Source organism: Homo sapiens, chromosome 1 (genome assembly GCF_000001405.40).
Source record: "Homo sapiens chromosome 1, GRCh38.p14 Primary Assembly".
NCBI lineage: Eukaryota > Metazoa > Chordata > Mammalia > Primates > Hominidae > Homo > Homo sapiens.
Genome location: NC_000001.11, coordinates 43753353 through 43776024, shown reverse-complemented (window position 1 = coordinate 43776024; position 22672 = coordinate 43753353). Strand labels below are relative to the sequence as shown.

The 22672-nt window shown below is 40.9% G+C and overlaps 1 protein-coding gene and 1 long non-coding RNA gene across 58 annotated transcripts in view, besides 3 other annotated features; both read right to left on the bottom strand.

Annotated features, from left to right (window-relative positions):
* ST3GAL3 (ST3 beta-galactoside alpha-2,3-sialyltransferase 3) overlaps positions 1–22672 on the bottom strand; it is a 223624-nt gene that overhangs the window by 155135 nt on the left and 45817 nt on the right. The gene's annotated exons all lie outside the window — the stretch shown is intronic.
* LOC124904166 (uncharacterized) lies at positions 1785–4435 on the bottom strand. Its single transcript, XR_007066051.1, has 2 exons — positions 4014–4435; positions 1785–2182 (listed from the first exon to the last, which is right to left on the bottom strand). It is a non-coding gene; the product is annotated as an uncharacterized LOC124904166 (long non-coding RNA).
* Positions 8601–9136: an enhancer, noted in NCBI's record as "OCT4-NANOG-H3K27ac hESC enhancer chr1:44232560-44233095 (GRCh37/hg19 assembly coordinates)". NCBI's record gives its function as "activates a minimal SCP1, AML or CMV promoter by ChIP-STARR-seq in primed H9 embryonic stem cells {active_cell/tissue: H9 hESC(primed)}" and the evidence as "EXISTENCE:reporter gene assay evidence [ECO:0000049][PMID:30033119]".
* Positions 12175–12234: an enhancer, noted in NCBI's record as "active region_924". NCBI's record gives its function as "activates an Ori minimal core promoter by ATAC-STARR-seq in GM12878 lymphoblastoid cells {active_cell/tissue: GM12878}" and the evidence as "EXISTENCE:reporter gene assay evidence [ECO:0000049][PMID:35858748]".
* Positions 12265–12354: an enhancer, noted in NCBI's record as "active region_923". NCBI's record gives its function as "activates an Ori minimal core promoter by ATAC-STARR-seq in GM12878 lymphoblastoid cells {active_cell/tissue: GM12878}" and the evidence as "EXISTENCE:reporter gene assay evidence [ECO:0000049][PMID:35858748]".

Below are 22672 nucleotides of genomic sequence, written 5' to 3'. Positions count from 1 at the left end.
TTATCTACAAGAAAGGAAGAAAAAGGAATAGAAGGCAGGTCACCTCACCTCCAGGGAAACACTGACCATACTGTGGTCAATGGAGGCTGACTGTGGACAAATCTCCTTCACCTGCCTCTTGCAAGATAGGGAGATCTTTACTGCTTAGGTTAAGGAAGGAAGATCAGTGAAAGTCATAATTATTTATTACTTAATATTATATTGAGGAGAAAATAAAAGGGACTTAAAAAAAAAAACTCCTGGTTTGTGTCCTTGGTATTCTGAATCTTTTATTTGGTAACTATGCTGAACAAGGGTATGCACAAGAAAAAGGGAACTTCCTTAATCTTTGAATTAGAATTCCTGCATAACTATATTTTTGTGTCCCCCCAAGTAGAAGTTGTAAACTGGAGGCTCACAGATGTATTAGGTTTAGCCCACGAAGTGTTTGCAAATGTCTGAATTTGTTAACATTTATAAGTCAGGAGATTTCACATAAAAATTCAGATTTCCGGCTGAGTGCGGTGGCTCACACCTGTAATCCCAGCACTTTGGGAGGCTGAGGCAGGTGTTCACCTGAGGTCAGGAGTTCAAGACCAGCCTGGCCAACATGGCGAAACTCCATCTCTACTAAAAATACAAACATTAGCCAGGCATTGTGGTGGGCGCCTGTAATCCCAGCTATTCTGGAGGCTGAGGCAGGAGAATCGCTTGAATCTGGGAGGCAGAGGTTGCAGTGAGCTGAGATCATACCATTCCACTCCAGCCTGGGTGACAAGAGCGCGACTCAGTCTCGAAAAAAAAAAAAAAAATTCAGATTTCCAGCTTCTCTTGAAAAATAGGGAGGTTCTGGCAATCAGGAAGAGCTTCTTTTATTCAGCAAAGGTAACAAATTATCTTTATAAATTGATATACAAGGTACTCATGGATTAAGTTAGCTGGTTCTCGCTCTTACACTAGGAAAGAGAACGCGCCAGAATCAGGGAGTCAGGGACTGGAAGTAACTAGGGGCTGAGGACGGAGGTGTGGCGTAAGCATCTTCAGAGCTAGACTCTGAGATAGCATCTCAGACTGGCATCTTTCTGGTATTCTCACGCTCCCTGCTTTTACTTACCGCGGATGTAACTGAAGGTTTACCTGTGTTTAATGTTGGTTTCCCTGTCTAGATTGAAAACTTGAGGTGACACATAATGTCTTTTCCATAATCCCTTTCACTTGGCACAGTACCTGACACACAGCAGACACTCAATATGTATTTGCTGAGTGAGAAATTAATGAATGAACGAAAAATGCTATAAAACAGGATCTGGAAACAGGTCATCTTTAGGAAACAAAAATCCTACCACTCACTTTTCCAAATGAAAGGATGACCAAATTCTACACAGAACTACAACAGACTTTTACAAATCTGTATTTTAGGACATCTACAGCCCTGGAGATGCTTGGCTCCACCTTCCACAGAGGTGAGTCATCTATTTCTTCATATGGGGCTTGCCCACGCTTGGCCTTGACTCCTCTCATTCTTTTGCTGGGCCCCTATCCTAAAAACTCCAGTCCACGATCAGCAATGCAAAAGTCCTGAAGATCCCAGAGAGTGGAGCTCCCTCAGTGATCCACTCAACACCTGAAAGGCAGCAAGGTGGCAGCCTTCTGGAAACAAATCATTACAAAACCTTCCACAAGGCAATAAGACAGAAAATACTTCCTTTTTAAATTAAAATATAAGATATATAGTTCCATGTGCTCAGTGAAACAAGAGTAACAATAGCAAAAGAAAAAACCAAGTTAGAACTGGAATCCAAAACTACTACTAACAGGGATTTATTATATATAAGAATAACAAGGAGTCAATATTGTCATTATAGTCTATATTAAAATGTACCCAATTGCCCCCCCAAGTATGTCTTTTTCCCTTATATATCTGTGTTTGAATAAATTTTACTCATTGCATTTGGCTATTCTGTCTTTTTTGCCTCTTATAATTAGAAACAGCTCACCCTCTCCATTTTTGTTTTCTCATGTGACTGCCTTCTTTTGAAGAGTTCAGGCCAGCTGGCTTGTAGCATGTCCTGTGTATTGAATTCATCTGATTTTTTTAAATGATCAAATTCAGGTTAAACACCTTGGCACAGACACTATGTAGGTGATATGTATTTCTTACTGCATCACATCAGAAGGCACATAATGACAGACTGTCCCACTACTGGTGATATTAAATTGGATCATTTGGTTAAGGTGTTGAACCACAGAACAGTTTTGCCCTTGTGATTAGTAAGTTAATTATTAAATAATTAATGTAAGAATTAAGTCCATTGTCTTAGTGTGATAATGGTACCATGGCTATGAAGGAGAAAAACTTTGTTTTTTCAGGAGGTGCAAACTGAGATATTTGAGGAAATATCAAAAACTCTGCACCTTACTTTCAAATTGTACAGAAAAATGTCTATTATCTATCTACCTATCTGTCTATCATCTATCTATCTATCCATCTACAAAGATAGGACAAATGTGGAAAATGTTAAAATGTAAACTGGGGAATCTAGTTAACAGGATCTTGATGATCATCAGCTTGTTCTTTCAACTTTTCCAATGGCTTGTAATTTCTCCAAAGCAAAATGCTAAGAGGAAACAAATAAATAAAAAGGATTAACAGTGGGTCAGAACTTGGAGCCCTGGGACCAGAGCATGTAGTAAGCTCAGTAAGACAACACTGAGATGCCAAGGAAGGCATGAGTTAGTATCCTTCTGGTCTTTAGAAAACAAAAACAAAAAAATCACAGGTAGGATGTCAATCAGGAGCCAAAATCACGCCCGCTGGAGTGAGGTGGATGTGGCTCCCCAGATCCAGCTATCTCAGAAGGCATTAATTAACTACAGTTACAACACTCAATAACCCTCACATCTTCCTTTCTCACTTCCACTTTCTCACTTATCAGAGCATTCAAAACTAACTAGGAAATTCATAAATAGAGTGATTTTTTTAAAAAAATTTGAGAATAGGCCTGGCGAGGTGGCTCACGCCTAGAATCCCAGCACTTTGGGAGGCCAAGGCGGGCAGATCACAAGGTCAAGAGATCGAGACCATCCTGGCCAACATGGTGAAATCCCATCTCTACTAAAAATACAAAAAAATCAGCTGGGCCTGGTGGCACGTGCCTGTAATCTCAGCTACTCGGGAGGCCGAGGCAGGAGAATCGCTTGAACCTGGGAGGCAGAGGTTGCAGTGAGCCGAGATCACGCCACTGCACTCCAGCCTGGTGACAGAGTGAGACTCTTCCTCAAAAAACGAAAAATAAAATAAAGTCAGTATCTGCCAAGAAAAAGTATTTCATCATTTTATTAAACAACTCTACTGAATACAAATTTTAAAACTTTCTCTAAAAAAAAAATCACTGCAAGGGACACTGGGGCCATGGGATCGCTTGAGCCAGGAGTTTGAGGCTGCAGTGAGCTATGATCACACCACTGCACTCCAGCCTGGATGACAGAGTGAGAACCTGTCTCAAAAACAAAAACAAACAAACCAAAAAAAATCACTGCAATAGGAAAGGGCACCAAGCGTGTAGCTGGAGAGAATAAGACGTAAGCAATGAGCTCATGATGGAAGGCTGAGTCTGTCACAAGCGCTCTAGATTCCAGGAAATCTGTCCATCATGACAAAAAGCAAATATACATATAGGATTAAAAAAAGGATCACTGGCCAGACGCAGTGGCTCATGCCTGTAATCCCAGCACTTTGGGAGGCTGAGGCGGGCGGATCACCTCAGGTCAGGAATTCAAGACCAGCCTGACCAACATGGAGAAACCCCATCTCTACTAAAAATCAAAATTAGCCAGGTGTGGTGGTGCATGCCTGTAATCCCAGCTACTGGGGAGGCTGAGGCAGGAGAATCGCTTGAACCCGGGAGGCGGAGGTTGCGGTGAGCAGAGATTATGCCATCACACTCCAGCAACAAGAGTGAAACTTGTGCCTAGGCAACAAGAGTGAAACTCCATCTAAAAAAAAAAAAAAAAAGACCACCTCTGCAGGATACGCTCAGTTTCAAGTCAGTTGACTTCTCATATTCCCCCTTATTTTTCCTTTTAACTTCCATGCTCCTGAAAGAGAGAAAAATGGTGACCCCAACATCCAGGGGCACACACCTTTGAAACAGGCCATCTTCTGTAAAAAAACAAAGGGAGGTGTTCATTTGTCTAAGAAAGTTATTTTCCTCAAATTAACACTATAAGCATCACAACTATAACAACCATGATCTGGATAGTGCAGATACTATACACACACACACACACACACACACACACACACACACACACAACTTTATTAAAACATTATAATCTGAGTTCTGGACTAAATTAGGGGTCAAAAGTGGTTTCCAAAAGAAGTCACCCAGCCGGGCGCGGTGGCTCACGCCTGTAATCCCAGTACTTTGGGAGGCCGAGGCGGGCAGATCACAAGGTCAGGAGATCGAGACCATCCTGGCTAACACGTTGAAATCCCGTCTCTACTAAAAATACAAAAAATTAGCCAGGCGTGGTGGCAGGCGCCTGTAGTCCCAGCTATTCCGGAGGCTGAGGCAGGAGAATGGTGTGAACCCCGGGGGCGGAGCCTGCGGTGAGCCGAGATCACGCCACTGCACTCCAGCCTGGGCGACAGCGAGACTCTGTCTCCAAAAAAAAAAAACAAAAAGTCGCCCAACAGTCTCGCTTATTTAAATATAATGATTTCCAAGAATCACTTTTATAGTACCTGGAAAATAAATCTCTAATTCATGTTTTCTAAGCCAGCCATTCTATTTATAACAGATATATTCAGACACTCAATTTGAATATAAAATACATTCAGTTTTCATTTACATGTCAATAAGCATGTTTATTGCCCAAAGGGAAACAGCCATGACAAAATAGAGGATGAAAATGTTCAAAAGAAGGGGATAACTGATGAGGGACAAAAGAATTCCACTGGAAATGGCAACTACAGCTGGAAGAGTGAAGATCTGATTAAGGAAGGTAAGGCATGCAAAGCACTTAAACTCAATCAATGATAGCTATCTTTGTTACTTTGGAAGATAAAGCTGTAAAGACAGTCAGAGATCAGAATATGAAGGGCCTTGTAGGCCATGAGAGGACGTTCTGGATTATCTGATAGAGATCAGGGCTCAGAACTTTCTTCTGGCTCAGAGATTGAACTTCACCAGACATAATATCCTGGGTACTTGGCAAAGTACCTGGCATGCAGCAGGAATTCAGAAATGTTTGCTAAATTGAATAACTTCTCCCTTCCAAGCAATAAGAAGCAAGGCAAGATTTTATTAGATGCTTTGTTTCTAGAGTTAACAGTCAATCAACAACTATCCAAGTCTCATGTGCATCTGTAGTACTCTCAGCTACTTGGGGAGGCTGAGGCTGAAGGAACGCTTGAGCCCAGGAGTTCAAGACTAATCTGGGCAATATACTGAGACTCCATCTCAAAAAAAAGAAAAAAAACAACAACTGTCCAAGCAATTTTCACCCCTAGTCTTGCCTCCAGGACAGCTTGCTTCTTTTTCTCCTTTAAATGTAGTCTTTGAAATGTCCTATCTTTTTATCATCCTGTTTTTGTCACTAGTCCCATCTCAACAAGTCATAATGAGGTTGACCCTTCCTTCCCTCCTATGTCAGTGCTTTTAAAATCTGTTCTGTTTGTGTTTGTTAATTTACGCACACAGCTAAAAACTTGAGGCCCGTCCACTGGTCTTCTCCCTTCTACTCCTTCCCCTACTCATTCCCCTCTCCTCCCCTCCCCTCTCCTCTCCTCCCCTCCCCTCTCCTCTCCTCCCCTCCCCTCTCCTCTCCTCACTTCTCTCTGTCTCCTCTCTCTTTCATAGTTAGTCTTACAAAGACTTTTACTAGAGAATATTCTGCTTGATTCCTTGAACCATGCTTCCAGGACCCCAGCATATTTCCATTTCAAAAATCTTTTGATTATGTGCTTTCAAGTTACAGTTTAAATTATTTACTCCATGGTTCAAGTTATAGTTTAAATTATTTACTCCCTGGGATGAAAGATTGAAGTTTCAGTCCCATATTGACAATTGAGCTAATCAGTGTAATTCTGTACTCGCTTCTTTATCTATAAAATTAGAAAAAGACCATTTGCCAGACTTTATTCTACTTCAAAGACCTGTTATATGAATAAAAATGAGAGAAAAAATAAAAACAGAACTAGTACATAAAATACAACATCCTTTTATACCTAAAAACAAGCTTGAACTACTATTTTACAATGGGAATGATTTTATGCAAATATATAGTATATTACCTTTTTCTTATGTAGTTTCCCGGATGACTAATTACAGGAGTTCTCAAGATAGCAAAGAGAGTATGTGAATGAAATAAGCTAAAACACTTGAACCATCTAGTCCAGCACCTTCACGGGGTAGGAACTGAATAAATGTTAGGCCCCTTTCCTTTGCTTCTCTTTCCTACCTTCCCTATTACCAGATATTATATTTAGTCAATATGTGTTGAAAAAAAGAAACGAACACAGGAACCCAAGGCATGACAAGGCTTCTTCCCAAATGTCTCCCAAGCCCATGCCCTCCCCTCCCCATCCTGCTACTTCCTCGGTTAAGATTTTCATCATGGGTTTTTCTTGCCTCAGTGCACCAGGCTAGGCATTCAGCTCAATATTAGAAAAAAAGTGGTTTGGGAATGTTCTTGTCTTGTTCCTGATCTTGAAGGGAAAACTTTCAAAATTTCACCCTTAAAATATTTGCTTGAGTTTTACGAACAGATACCCTTTTTCAGATGAAAGCTCTCTGCTAGTCCTAGTCTGCTAAGCAGTTCCAGCATCAACACATGCTGAATTTTATTAAATGCTTGTTCTGTATCTACTGAAATGTTTTTCTTTTTAATCTAATAAAAATCTATTTAACCTATGAATGTGATTAATTACACTGATGAATTTCTCTAACGTTACATCAACCATGTATATTAGGATAAGCCCAACTACTAGATGGTGATCTATTATCTTTTTTATATATTGTGGAATTTGCTAAATGTCTGTTGAGGATTTTTACATTTATATTTTTAGGTAGCTTGGCCTTTAATCTTCCTTTCTTGAGTTTGTCTTTCTTCAGTTTTGGTATCAAGGTTATGCTAGTCTCAAAAAAATGAGTAAGGAGTGTCCCTCTTTTTCAGTTCTCTGGAACTGTTTGAACAAAGCTGGAATTAATTATTCTTTTCAATCTGCTGAAGAAATCTCCAGTGAAGCCCTCTGGGTTTGAAGTTCTCTGGGGAGAAAGATTTTGGATTATTGATTCCATTGGTTTAAAAAGTTTATAGGATTCTAAGGTTTTCCATGATGTCTTGAGTCAGTTTTAGTCGGATATTATTCTAGAAATGGATCTATTTTCACAAAATTCTCAGGACTTTTGGCATAAAATTGTTCATACAGCCTCTTTTTATCTTTTTCAAGCCTATAGCTCCTGTAGTGTGGTCTCCCTTCCTGTTCCTGGCATTGTTCACTGGCACTTGTGCTTCAATTTCTCTCCTCCCTGACCTCCACAATCAGTCTTGCCAGAAGTCTGTCAATTTTAATTTTGAAAAATTTATTTTTTATTTTTAGAGATGGGGTCTTGCTCTGTTGCCCAGACTGGAGTGCAGTAGTGTGATCATATCTGACTGCAGCCTTGAACACCTGGGCTCAAGTGAGTCTCCTGCTTCAGCCACCTGGAGTAGCTAGGACTGCAGGCATGTACCACCACACCCAGCTAATTTTAAAAAAAATTTTTTTGTAGAGACAGGCTCTTGCTGTGTTGTCCAGGCTGGTCTCAAACTCCTGGCCTCAAGTGATCCTCAAATACTGGCCTCTCAAAGTGCTGGGATTATAGGCATGAGCCACTGTGCCCAGCATTTGTCAATTTTATTAATCTTTTTTTAAAAAAACTTGCTCCTTGGAAAAGTATGTTAATCTTTTGAAAGAACAAATTTTTGACTTTGTTGATCCTCTGTATTTTTTTTTCTTTTTCATCAAACTATTATTTTCTGTTTTCCTTCTTTGGGTTTAATGTGCTCTACATTTTCTAACTTCTTGAAATTGATGTTTAGATTACTAATTTTTTTCAACCTTCGGTTATTTTTCTAACATGCATTAAAGTCTACAAACTTCCCTCTATGCTTATAGGTTATAGTAGCATCATACAAGTTTTGACAAGTTTTGATATTTTCTTTTTTTTTTTTTAATTATACTTTAAGTTCTGGGATACATGTGCAGAACGTGCAGGTTTGTTACATGGGTAAACACGTGCCATGGCGGTTTGCTGCACCCATCAACCCATCATCTACATTAGGTATTTCTCCTAATGCTATCCTTCCCCTACCCCCCCACCCAAGTTTTGATATTTTCAGTATCATGCAATTCAAAATATTTTCTACTTCCCATGATTTTTTCTTTGACCCAATGATTATTTACAAATTCATTTCTTAATATTCTAGTTATCTTTTTGTTATTCATTTCTAGCTTAATTTCACTGTGGTCAGAGGATTGATTCTGCATGTGATCAATCCTCTGACACTTGTTGAGACTTGCTTTAGGTATGGTCTGTGGCTTCCCCTTCATTTACCTGATGAAGTCTAAACTGTTCCCTGTTCACTGTGACATATAAAGAAGGACCTTTGTGACCTGACTCATTACCTACCTGCCCAGGGAGTACCATCCCCCAGAGACTCTATATGCCAGCCACATCCATCTTCCCCTGGTTTTCACTCATGCCATGCCTTGCACTCTTGCGCCTCTATCCATAATCTTCCCTCTGCCTTTCTGCTCCTCCTAGCCCTCCCTACTCAGCTCAGATGTTACCTCCACCACAAGGCCTTTCCAAGCATCTGTCCGTCCCTGAAACTCCTCAAGTGGTGAAGTGCTGTGGCTATTGGTATCCCTACCTCTTTTCTTTCTCTCGCAATCTAGCCTCCACACAGCTGCCAAAGTGAGCCTTCTAAAATGCAAATCCGACCACATTTCTCTCTCTCCTTTTCATCAGCTGCTTCCGCCTAACTCAGAATCCAAACTCTGCATTCCACACAAGACTCTCCCAGCCCTTTTCCAGGCCCCTCCACTTTATTCATGCTACTATCACTGCCTAGAATGCACTTCTCATCTTATTCATTCATCTTTCAAGTCCAGGCTTGAGAGTCACTTCCTCTTATTTTGCTGAGGGAATAAAGGAACACAACCTCCCATTTTAAATTCTAGGTGCTCAACAGAAATTCCAGAAGAGACCTCTGTGTTGTTAATTTTCCTTCACACAAAAGTCCAGAACACTACTTTTCCACCAGGTCTTTCCATTAAGGGTAGAAGCCTTTAATGGCCCTGCTGCATTAAATCTAAACTCCACACCTCACCTTAGGGCCTTCTGTCATCGACTCTGCCCTGCTCTGCAATCCTCGGTCTCACTACTCCCCGCCCCCCACCATTCCTCACAAGCCGCTCTCAGCTCTCACTGAAGCTTACAAAATATTTCGAGTACTCTGTCTGCTAGAGCACTTTCCCAGGTCCCCACATGTCCTACCCCAACCGCCAGGTCCCTGCTTCAGTGCCCATCTCTTCCTCAAAGCTTTCCTTGACATCACTTCTTATTTATTTACTTATTTTTTTTTAAATCGCCACTTCTTTGTTGTCTCTGAAACACTTCATCTCATTGTCTTGTCCTTGGTTACTTCCTGTGAGTCTCAGCTTTCAGTCTTTAAAATTCCCAGGCCCAGGCACCTCTCTTCCTAAATGCCCCACACTGCCTGGAATAAAGCTGAGTAAGTAACAAGCTGTCAGTCAGCAGTAATCCTCATAGACTGACAGAAGAAGTCATTGATATCTCTCCCTTGGCCTCTCTTCCTCTGACTTAAGGGCTACTTGGGTGGTATTCATGTGAATCCGGGCAAGGAGCTGTCAGGGCTATTTGAATGACTATTTCCTTGTAATTTCCTCCACTGGATTTTTTATTCCAGCTCTTAGAGGAGAAATAGGAACATGAATAATGGTGCTGGTCTCAGTGAAGAGACCTGTCTCTTCAAGCTTCTTTCTTCAAGCACAGAGAAGCTCATGTGCTTCCCTGCAGCACACATCTATCTCCATTGTTACCATGTGAAAGACATCAATCCTGTTATGGCTGAGGGAAAGAGGAGCTTGTTTTTACAGCTACATGGCAGGATCAGAAGCTTCTCAATCTTCTCCTATACCACTAAAAAAAAAGCGCACGCGGACGCGCGGACGCGCGCGCGCGCGCGCACACACACACACACACACACACACACACACAGACACACACAGACACACACATGCACATGAAATTGTTTTACCCTTTTTTGCCTTTCCAGAGCAAGGAATCCTTAAATTCTCAGCTCTGTATTCCTCCCTTCTTTTCCTTCTCTCTGATAAAGTTTAGCTTTCCTCAGCCTTTTAAAATGTCCCCAGGTAAGTAAAACTATGATACTATGATGGTGGCAATTTAAGTATTTTAAGTGTGGGGAACCTAAAACATACAGTTTTAGAAGTGTCTTTGATTCACCAATAGTGATGAAATGGAGCCACCACACAGGTATGAGCAACATCACAGTGTAGCTGTGAGGGCTACGTGGCCTCCTCTCAGTTAGGTGGGACCACACGACTGAGTACTGATCTGTGGAACGTGCGCTGCAGGGAAGCACATGAACTTCTCTGTGCTTGAAGAGAGAAGCTTGAAGAGAGAGGTCTCTTCACTGAGACCTGCACAGTTCTCCATGTTCCTGTCCATTTCTCCTCTGGGAGCTGGTTTAGAGAATCCAGTGAAGGACTCCAGGCCCTAGGGCCTGGGGGAGTCACTAGATGAAGTCTGTGGCCCTAAATGAATTAGGTAGAGCAGAATTCCTCCCCACCAATATAGAACTGCACCAGATTGTGACAGGAGAGAAATAACCTTTATTGTGTTAAAACCACTGAAATTTGGGGGTAGTTGGTTACACTAGAGTTCACCCTGACACTAAAATGATAAATGAAAAATGAAATTATTTTTATTTTTATTCTTAAAGTTAAAAATAACAAGTATTCTTAAGTATTGCTTCAAAGCAATTCTGTCTAAAGCTGTCTTCTATTACTCTACCAGCCCTTTCAGGAGAGCCCTTTGGGCACTATGGTGGAAGCTGTAGAGGCCACTCAGTAACTAAAGGGCTTATTCCCCAGCTGCTGGGATGGTGAAGGACAGAAAGGCCTCAACTGTCAGCCCTCTTCAGGGAATGCATCTGCTGAAGAGCGCTGCCTGGCCCACGGCCATGCCCCTTCCTGGGGCAGCCCTCGTCCAATGACGGGTCAGGAGGAGCTGTAAAGGCACAGCTCTCTCACTCTATGGCTTAGAAAACATGGATTATCTGAGCCCTAGTCCCCATGGGGTGGGCTGAGGCCTTTTACTGAGACTGAATCACGGCCCGATTTTTCCCCCTATACAATCTCCACATCTTTCCCTTTTCTTTTCCCTTCTTCCTCATTTCCTTTCTTTTCCTTCCAGGAGTATTGATTCCATAACCACTCCCTAATAAGCTTTTCACACCCTAATCTTTATCTCAGAGTTTGCTTCCCCTGGATCTCGGCCTGAGACAGGTACTATATCCCGATGCAATATTGTGTTGCGCGACTCTACCTCATTATATAGCCCAAATACTATATTTTCCAATCAAAAATACACAAAATCACAGTGGGATGGAACCTTTAAAATTGAGACTCTGCAAAAATTCAGAATGTACTATACTATTAAAAGACTGTTTATAAGAAAGTAAGAAATACCACAGACATTTTGAGGGCCCCTCTGAGAAAAGGAGCTCTGAAATTGTCTTAAGGAAAATATTACCTCCTTGCTTATAACCAAATAAATTATTAAATACATAACAGAGCTACATAAAAGTTATTAAGGATCTATTAATATTATTCATCTGTGCTGATACCTTGTACTATTGTAATTATAGCAGTTACTTTCTGAGTGTTCACAACACAGTGCTAAGAGCTCTACACACACTATCTCATTGAATAAATGACAGTTAAGAAATGACCCAAAGTCACATAGCCAGGACTCAACGTTAGGTGGGGTGGATTCCAAAGCCTCAACTCTTATGTTCCACTATGTTGTAATGCCTCTACTGTCTTGCATATTCAAGCTCTGAGAGAGGTTAACACTGTAAGGAGTATAGTTCACTAAGTAATTTGCAGGGGAGCCTGGAACATAAGGCAGATATAGAGGATTCCAAAACACACACTCTCTCCTCTCACCCCTCCATTGCCTCCTCTGATGGCTTAGACACTGGCCTGCCTTTGGATGCCCACGGTCTAGTAAGTGAGTTGAAGAACTACTCCATGCAGGATTTTGCCAGAAGTCATTCCAGCGCTAATCTGTCCTGTGGCAATCAAAAGGTTCTTCTGCCCTCTTGTGGCTCAGGGTGACTGCTACATATCAAAGCTCCATTAAAAAGCTGAAACACCATATAAAGGCACTTGGCAGCCAGGCACAAAACAGCAGAAGGCAACGCTGATTGGCTTGAAATGGAGCCTATTTAATAACCTAAAAATTTGATCCGCCACTCCTCCATGCCAACTATTGCTCATAATAAGAAAGTTAGAAAGAATAACAGAATACTAGAACTCATAGAAAAACAAACCCAAGAACCCAGTATCTCGTAATTGTAAGGAATATAACAACCAGCTACATCCATTTACAACAATGATAAAAGTTTAAAACATTATAAGCCCCAAAGAAAACTCCCCATCCTTGCTTTTTTACACCTAACAGTATATTTCAGAAATCTTTTCATATTAGTGTATACAGAGCCTCCTCATCTTCAGGTGCAGAGTACTCACCGGATGGGGGAACCATGATTTAATTAACTTGTTCTCTACTGGTAAACATTCTAATTGCTTCCAAATTTTTGCTATTAAAAACAATGCTGCAAATAAACAAAGTGCTGCGATGGGTAACCTTGTGCATATATCATTTTGCAAGTGTGCAAGAATCCCAGTAGGGGAATTCCTAGAAGTGGAAATGCTGGGTCCAAGGGCAAGGGCACATACATGCCTTTGCACGACTTCTTGAAACTTTTTCTTCTGTTGGTTTTCCCTCCTATCTGTCTGGCTGCTCCTTCTCAGGCTTCTTCCCATTGTGCCCTTCCTCCTGCTTACCCCTCCTTGGTTATCATTTCCCCAGGACTTGGTTTTTGGTCCCCTTTCATCCTATCTCCTCTCTCCCCAGCAGTCTCACCCACTCTTATCTTCCAGCTATCAGTTTTCTTCCCAGAAAGAAACCAAAGTTATTATTTCTGGGTTTTATGCTTCCAGTTATTTTATGCATATGTATGCAAACCTATATATAATATATATGCTTATGTATGTATAACTATGGAGATACACACAGACAACTTCCCCGTCCTCTTGTTATAAATGGTAGCGTTTATATCCTCAATGGAAGCAGTTTTAAGGGGATGCCGCCAAGCAACAACCTTCACAGGAGATAAAACTGTGGCCCCCAACACTTTTCAACCTATAGTTGAATTCTTTGCCAGGCAACTGGAGTGAACTCAAAGGGGAAGATTAAAAGTATTGTCTCCCACCCTGGACTACTCGCCAAGTAGCCATGCATTAATTTAAGGGCTAGAGGGAAGGATAGAGCACAAAGGCCAATAAGTAAAACATCAGAGACTAAATAAGTCTCTGATACCTTCACAGATATGGTTACATACCTGTGTAAAGGTTTGGTTTGACTTTTTGGTTTTTCTTTCTTTTTTTTTTTTTTTTAATGAGACAGGGTCTTGCTCTGTTGCTAAGGCTGGAGTACAGTGGCTCACTGGAGCCTCAATCTCCTGGGTTCAAGCGATCCTCCTGCCTTAGCCTCCCAAGTGGCTGGGACTATAGGCACGTGCCACCACATCCGACTGATTTTTCATTTTTATTTTCGGTAGAGACGAGGTCTCACTATGTTCCCCAGTCTGGTCTCAAACTTCTGGGCTCAAGTGAACCTCCTGCCTTGGCCTCCCAAAGTGCTGGGATTGCAGGTATGAGCCACCAAGCCCAGCCTGAATTTTTTTTTTTTTTTTTTTTTTTTTTTTTGAGACAGAGTGTCGCTCTGTTGCCCAGGCTGGAGTGCAGTGGTGCCATCTTGGCTCACTGCAAGCTCCGCCTCCTGGGTTCACGCTATTCTCCTGCCCCAGCCTCCCGAGTAGCTGGGACTACAGGCGCCCACCACCATGCCCGGCTAATTTTTTTGTATTTTTAGTAGAGACTGGGTTTCACTGTGTTAGCCAGGATGGTCTCGATCTCCTGACCTCGTGATCCGCCCACCTTGGCCTCCCAAAGTGCTGGGATTACAGGCATGAGCCACCGCGCCCGGCCCAGCCTGACTTTTTTTTAATGAAAGTTTTTAACCACAAGTAGAGAGAATAGTATAATGAACCCCATCCTACAGATTCAACAATTAAAACATTTTACTTCTGACTTCCTTTCTTCCTTTGTTTTTTCCTTCCTTCCCTTGCCCCCTTTTCTTTCTCCTTCTCTCTTTTTTGGCTGCATTATTATAAAACAAGTCCCTGACACCATGTCATTTCATATCTAAATACATCCTTCTGGACATTATAAAACACAAAGACATTTCTTTACACGACCACAATATCATTAACACAAGGTAAATTTCTTAATTTCATCAAATGCTCAAACTACATTCATATTTCCACAATTATCTAAAAAAAAAAAAATCTTTTTACAGTTAGCTACTTAAATTTTGAAGGAAATATATAGCCAAATAAACTCCAAGCCCAGCCTGCAATGGCTTGTGACTATTAAATCTTACAAGAATTCCCAGGCTCCCAAAACCCCCAACAACAGGAAATGAACTGCTGAAGCTGTCCAGCTCCCGGAGGGACATTCTTCCACTGCTCAGCCTAGTGTGGCCTTGGCAGATAATGGTTAAGGAAGAATCACCCTATTTCCCTTAGATATCATCCTCCTATCCCCTCCAACCACTAATCTACTTTCTGACTCTATAGATTTGCCTGTTTTGGACATGTCAGTGAAACCATTAAATATGTGGCCTTTGTGGCCTGCTTCTTTCTCTCAGCATAATGTTTTCAAGGCTCATCCATATTGTAGCATTATCAGTATCTCATTCCTCTTTATTGCAGAACAGTCCATCGTTTGGATATACCACATTTTATTTTTTTATTTATCCCTTCTTCAGCTGTTGTGTATTTGAGTTGTTTCCACTTTTTGGCTACAAGAAATAATAGTGCTATCAACATTTTTTTTTTTTGAGACGGAGCCTTGCTGTGTCACCCAAGCTGGAATGCAGTGGTATGATCTCAGGTCACTGCAACCTCCACCTCCCGAGTTCAAGCGATTCTCCTGCCTCAGCCTCCCGAGTAGCTGGGACTACAGGTGCCTACCACCACGCCCGGCTAATTTTTTGTATTTTTTAGTAGAGACGGGGTTTCACCGTGTTAGCCGGGATGGTCCCGATCTCCTGACTTCGTGATCCACCTGCCTTGGCCTCCCAAAGTGCTGGGATTACAGGCGTGAGCCACTGCGCCTGGCCTGAATAGATCTTTTATCCATGCATGATTCTGTAACATCCTAACAGTAGTCATTTGCGCATTATGGGTTCACTGAGTTATACACATCTTCCAATGATTTCACATTCGTTATAAAATATCAAAAAATCTCATTTGTTAATATATCTACTGACTGTATCAGACAAGTGTTTAAATATTGAGATGTCAGGCTTATGGCAGCAGATGTAAGTTTTTCAGAATTCTAGTCTTCACTTGAAAGCCAGAGTTTTCTCACTGCAAAAAAATACTGCCAGTGGTTTCCCTTGAAGTGACAGGCTTACTTCATTCATCTTTGAGAAAAGGTCTGTCAAAACCCAGTCTAAATAACCATACTTTGTCTATCATTTCTTTCAAGTAAAAATGGTACCCCCAAAAGAGCAGCTAGTTCAGCTTGTAGTACAAACAATCCATACCATGAGGGCTTTTCCTTGGGGCAACAATAAAGCTTCAGTGTGCAGTGGTAGTGTTTTATGCGTATTTTTCCCATTTCATCACCACATTTTTTTTGAGATGGGTTCTCACTATGTTGCTCAGGCTGGCCTCAAGTGATCCTTCTGTCTCAACCTCCTGAGTAGACATTCGTTTTTGAGTGAAACAACGCATATCCAAAAATTGAGATTTCATGAAATTAAATGTTTCGTCAATAACATTTTTAAGTAAAATTGGCTTCATTTTATTTCCTACCACGTGTGGCAGTGAGAAATATAATGACAACTATAATAGCAGTTTAGTGCTACTGATTTGACTTGTGCTAAGGGGCAAGCAGCTTTACCTGCCATCGCTTTGTAGCATCAGTGCAGATGCCAACACAGTGCAACAGGCAACCAAAATACACTTGACCAAACTTTAATAACCACTCTACAAAAGACAGTAGTTCTCTGCTTTGCTCAGAGAGACTAAGTCTTATAAGCACAGCTCTTCTTGCTTAAACTACCAATACACTCAGCTTTATGTTTCAGATATTAAGTGCTGGACTCTTCCCTCAACATTTGTTTTTTGTTTGTTTGTTTTTTTGAGATGGAGTCTCGCTCTGTCACCCAGGATGGAATGCAGTGGCGTGATCTCAGCTCACTGCAATCTCCACCTCCCAGGTTCAAGCGATTCTCCCACCTTAGCCTCCCGAATAGCTGGGATTACAGGCACATGCCACCACGCCCAGCTAATTTTTGTATTTTTAGTAGAGGTGGAGTTTCACCATGTTGGCCAGGATGGTCTCGATCTCCTGACCTCCTGATCCACCTGCCTCGGCCTCCCAAAGTGCTGGGATTACAGGCGTGAGCCACCACGCCCAGCCTAGTTTTTTCTTTTATTGAGTTTCATGCCTTTTTTTCATCACTATATATCCCCTTCTGTGTGTGTGTGTGTGTGTGTGTGTGTGTGTGTGTGTGTGTGCGCGCGCTTTTGTTTGTTTTTTAGGAGACAGTCTCGCTCTGTTGCCCACGCTGGAGGGCTGTGATATGATCATAACTTACTGCAATCTTGAATTCCTAGGCTCAACTGATTCTCTTACCTCAGCCTCCTCCTGAGTAGCTAGGACTACAAGCACACGCCACCACGCCTGCCTGATTTTTAAATTATTTACCATTATTATTTGGTAAAGACAGAGTCTTGCTATGTTGCCCAGGCTGGTCTCGAACTCCTAGCCTCAAATGATCCTCCTGCCTGAGCCTCCCAAAGTGCTGGAATTATAGGTGTGAACTATCATGCCTGACCTCTTCTAGTTAGTTTTTAAGTTATGCACTTTACATACTTTCTATTCTTGTTGTGGTTGACCTAGAAATCTTTAGCCTACATAATTAACTGAAAAAAGTCTAAGTTTATCAACATACTTAACTGACCCACCAAAGGATATAAGAAAAATACTTTAAATCTTAATGCTGTCTCTCAATTTAAATTTTATTATTAAGATTAGGTGCGGTGGCTGATGCCTGTAATCCCAACACTTTGGGAGGCAAGGAAGGAGAATCACTTGAGGCCAGGAGTTCAAGACCAGCCTGGGCAATATAGCAAAACCCTGTCTCTACAAAAAATTTAAAAACATTAGCCAGGTATAGAGGCACACTTCTGTAGTCCTAGCTACCCAGGAGACTGAGGTGGGAGGATTGCCTGAGCCCAGGACTTTGAGGTTGCAGTGAACTATAATTGCACCACTGCACTCCAGCCTGGGTGGCAGAACAAGACCATGTCTTAAAAAAATTGTTTTTAAATTACTAACTGGTAGTATAGTTCCATTCTTCTGTTTTTATAATGCCAAATATTGATTGGATGATACTGCCTTTTTTTTGGGGGGGGGGGTGGTATGCAGCCAATGGAGTATAGTATAGTATAAGAGTAGTGTCTTATTGTGGTTTTAATTCGCATTTAATACTAATTTGATGCTGAGAATCTTTTCAAGTGCTTACTTGCCATGTGTATGTCTACTTTGGTGAAGTGTCTATACATATCTTTGTTTATTTTTAGCTGGCTCTTTGTCTACTTATTACTGAATAGTAAGGTACAAGACCTTTGTCTTGTATTGACTTTGTTTTGACTTTTTATTGACTTAGTAAAGTACAACAGTAAAGTACAAGACCTTTGTTGTAGATGTTTCACAATATTTTCTCCCAGGCTGTGGCTTGCCTTTAAATATTTGTAACAGTGTTGTTTAAAGAGCAAAAGTTTTTACTTTTGATAAAGTTCAATGTTTTTTTTTATGCTTTTCTGCCCTATTTAAGAAATCTTTACCAAACTCAAAATCACTAACATTTCTCTCCTATATTTTGTTCTATGCGTTTTTTAGTCTTAGCTCTTCTGTTTAGGTTGCATGATCCATTTCAAGTTAATTTTGTACATGGTGAGAAATAAGAATCAGTGTTCTTTTGTTTGTTTTTGTGCAACCAGTTATTGAAAAGACTATACTTTCTCCTTTGAATTGCCTGGGCCCCTTTGTGAAAAATCAATCGGCCATATATGTGTGGGTCTATTTCTGGGCTCTGTTTTCTGTCTCATTGATCTATATATCTATCTTTATACCAGTACCACTCTATCTTGATTGCTGCTGGCTTTATGATAAGTTTTGAAAGCAGGTAATGTAAACCCTCCAACTTTGTTCTTTTTCAAAATGGTTTGACTATTCTTGAATCTCTATATTTCTATATAAGTTTTAAAATCAGTTTTCAATTTCTACCAAAGCAAAAATTTTTTAAAGACAAAAAAACCCAAGCCTTCTGGGATTTTGATTGAGAGAATGTGCTGCATTTTAAAACACATTGGGGGCCAGGTGCGGTGCTTCATGCCTGTAATCCCAGCACTTTGAGAGGCTGAGGTAGGCGGATTACTTGAGGTCAGGAGTTTGAGACCAGCCTGGCCAACATGGTGAAACCCCATCTCTACTAAAAATATAAAAGTTAGCTAGGCGTGGTGGTGGGTGCCTGTAGTCCCAGGTACTTGGGGGTGCTGAGCCAGGAGAATCACTTGAACCGGGAGGCAGAGGTTGCAGTGAGCTGAGATCACGCCACTGCACTTCAGCCTGGGTGACAGAGCGAGACCCTGCCTCAAAAAATAAAATAAAACACATTGGGGAGATTTAGTAACATTAATAGGTCTTCTGACCCATGAACATGGTATGTCGATTTCAATATTCTTTAATTTCCCACAGTAATCTTTTGTAGGTTTTAGTGAACATCTTGGCCATTCTGCTCCCTAGAGGGCCTTACTCCTTGTGCTTAGATGGGCCATCCTTCTAACCATCATGGAATGTATAGGTATACAGAAACAATTATCCAACCATATCAAGTGAGTTGCAATGAACCCTATGGAAATAATATAAATCAAGTCTTCACTTTTATTCTCCCTTTTCACTATGTCTCTCCTCCTGCAAAGGCAACCGTTCTATTTTGTTTAATGTGTGCGTGCGTGTGTGTGTGTGTGTATACAATACATATATAGTTTATGTTCTCTTAATACATTTATGTTTTATATCATGTGCTTTTTCTTATCAACTTTATAAAGGAATAATTTACATATAATAAACTGCATCAATTTAAAGTACATGATTTGAAGTTTTGAAAGTTGTACACATACATAAAATCACAATCAAGGTAAAGGACATTTCCACTGATCCCAAAAAAATTTTTTGTGTCCGTTTGCAATCCCTCCCTCCCTTCACTCTTCACCCCAGATAAATACTGATCTAAGTTACTAATTTAGTTTCCATTTCACATACATGGTGCCATACAATATGTACTTTTTTAAATGTAGGATTTCTTTTGTTCAGCGTTAGTTTGATATTTATCTATTATGTCATATGTATCAAGTTTGTTCCTTTTATTTTTCCTTTCCTTTTCTTTTCTTCTTCTTCTTTTTTTTTTTTTTTTTTGAGACTGGTTCTCACTCTGTCTACCAGGTTAGAGTACAATAGTGCAATTATAGCCCACTACAGCCTCAAAATCCTGGGCTCAAGTGATCCTCCCACCTCAGCCTCCTGAGTAGCTAGGACAACAGGCATGTACCACCATGCCAGGCTAATTTTTTATTTTCAGTTTTTGTAGAGATGGGTGTCTCACTATGTTGCCCAGGCTGGTCTCAAACTCCTAGAAGTGATCCTCCCAACTTGGCCCCCCAAAGCACTAGGAGCCAATGTGCTTGGCCAATATTTTTAATTTTGGTAAAGTTTATCAATTTTTAATTTTATGGTTCATGCTTCTTGTATCCTTAAAAACCTTTGTCTGTATCTTTCTAATTTACCTAAGTGAAACTGTGTTTCTGCTTCCTTTTTGATTCCAACTATGTTTTCTAAGTCTCGTCCATATAGTTTTTGTATATTTGGTCTGTTATTTCTAACAACTGCATATCATTTGATGATATAAATACCCTACTTTTTGCCTACTGAACCCCCACCCCAGGAAGGAAATACATTCATCCTCTAACTCACTGGGTTCACAAGTAATGCATGTTTCTGGTAAGTTCTGTGGAATATAAATAAAAGACTTGCTGAGCTAAAGCATATGTGTATACTTAAGTTGATTAATTATTGCTAGCGTGCTCTCCAGAATGGCTGTACCAATGTACTTTTCTACCAGTAAAGGATATAAGTTACAATAGTCTCACATTCCAGCCAACACGTGACATTATCTAGCTTTCTAATTTCTTATCAGTCTAAGAGATATAAAACATCTTATTTTAATTTGAATATTTTTATAGCCCATGAGTTTGACTATCTCTTCATATGCTTAGCATTATGGGTTTCTTATTCTGTAAACTGTCTGTTCTAATTCTTTGCCTGTTTTCTACTGGGGTTGTTCTTTTTCTTCTTGATTTGCAGGAATTCCCTGTACATTCCTTGAGAATTTTAAACATTGAAAATGTTTTCTCCCAGTAAATTATCTGTGTATTAACCATGTCTATGATGTCATTAATAGCACAAAATCCTTAAATTAGATTTAAACAAGTTCATCAACTTTTTGCCTACAATGTTTGCCTTTAAGGTTTTGTTTAGTCCTTCCCTTAGATACCTAATTCACAAAGATAATCTTTTATTATGTTTTTTTTTTTGAGACAGGGTTTTGCTCTATCACCTAGGCTGGAGTGCAGCCTTGACCTCACAAACTCAAGCAATTCTTCCACCTCAGCTTCCCGAGTAGCTGGTACTACAGGAACACACCACTACACTCAGCTAATTTTGTAATTTTGTGTAGAGGTGGGATCTCACTATGCTGCTCAGGCTGGTATCAAAGTCCAAGCCATCCTCCTGCCTCATCTTCCCGAAGTGCTGCTGCACCAAGCCACAGAGATAATCTTTTGTTTTCTTGGTTACTTTCTAATTTTACCAGTCTCATTTAAATCTTTAGTCTGCCTGAATTCTACACTTGTACCTGGAGTTAGGGATGGACTCAGTTTTGTTCAGCTTCATCCAACGAGCCTGTATGCCCTTTCTCCTTCGACTTGTGGTGCCATCTTTACGTTCTACTAAATTCCTATTATACATGATGCTGGCGTGGTGGCTCATGCCTGTAATCCCAGCACTTTGGGAGGCTGAGGTGGGTGGATTGCTTGAGGTCAGGAGTTAGAGACCAGCCTGGCTAACGCGGTGAAACCTCGTCTCTACTAAAATACAAAAATTAGCCGGATGGGGTGCTTGGTGCCTGCAATCTCAGCTACTCGGGAGGCTGAGGCAAGAGAATTCCTTGAACCTAGGAGGCAGAGGATGCAGTGAGCCGGGACTGTGCCACTGCACCACTCCAGCCTGGGTGACAGAGCAAGATTCCGTCTCAAAAAGCAAACAAACACAATTCCTATTATACATGAGTTTTGTCTCTGAGTTATTTTTTAAATTGGTTACTTTTTCTGTCTTAGCACAACACTACCATTTTTAATTGTATGGCTCTAAGAATATCTTAATACCTGAGAGAGCAAGACCCTCTCCTTTTTACAGTGAGAAATAAAGCTAGCCCATAATTTTGGTGCATATACGTACAGATTTCTCTAATGAACTGACGTTCTGTGAAGGTGGCTGGACTGGAGAGAGAGGAGACAGTAAGTTACCTGAGAGTAGACCAAGGCAGGAGCAGGATCTGGGCGGGAGGGAGTACAGCCCTTCCAGGTCCAGCAGGAGGGTGTGCCTGAGCATCCTTCAACCCAGCTGCAGCCCTCCTAACCCAGGGCACTTATGAATCCTGAGAAGGCTATGATATAAAGAACTGGGATACCAGAGGCCCAGCTAGGGGAATCCCTTCAGAAAGAGCAGCTCATTAGAAGCAGGAGGAACTTTCATCAGGTCAAAGAGGGAGAAAGCCACTGACAAAGGTCAGCAGTCTAGAATAGATTACAGTAACATGAAGTTTAGAACATGACATCAGCAAGGATGGAAAAAGTAATAGAGAGCAGCAGGGAGGGAACTGAGACCTGTCTGCATTCCTCCCACCATCACATACCCTCTCAGAACAAGTGGTGATTCTCAAAGTATGGTCCACAGCCTACTGATGGGTTCTTACAATGGCCTATAAACTGATCCAAAAATGCAAGTCTTTCTTTGTGACACACGACATGGAATCCACAAACTTTCACTTTTATTTACAATTAGGCCTTACTTAAGTTACTAGAAACCCACAAAATAAATTACTGAGTT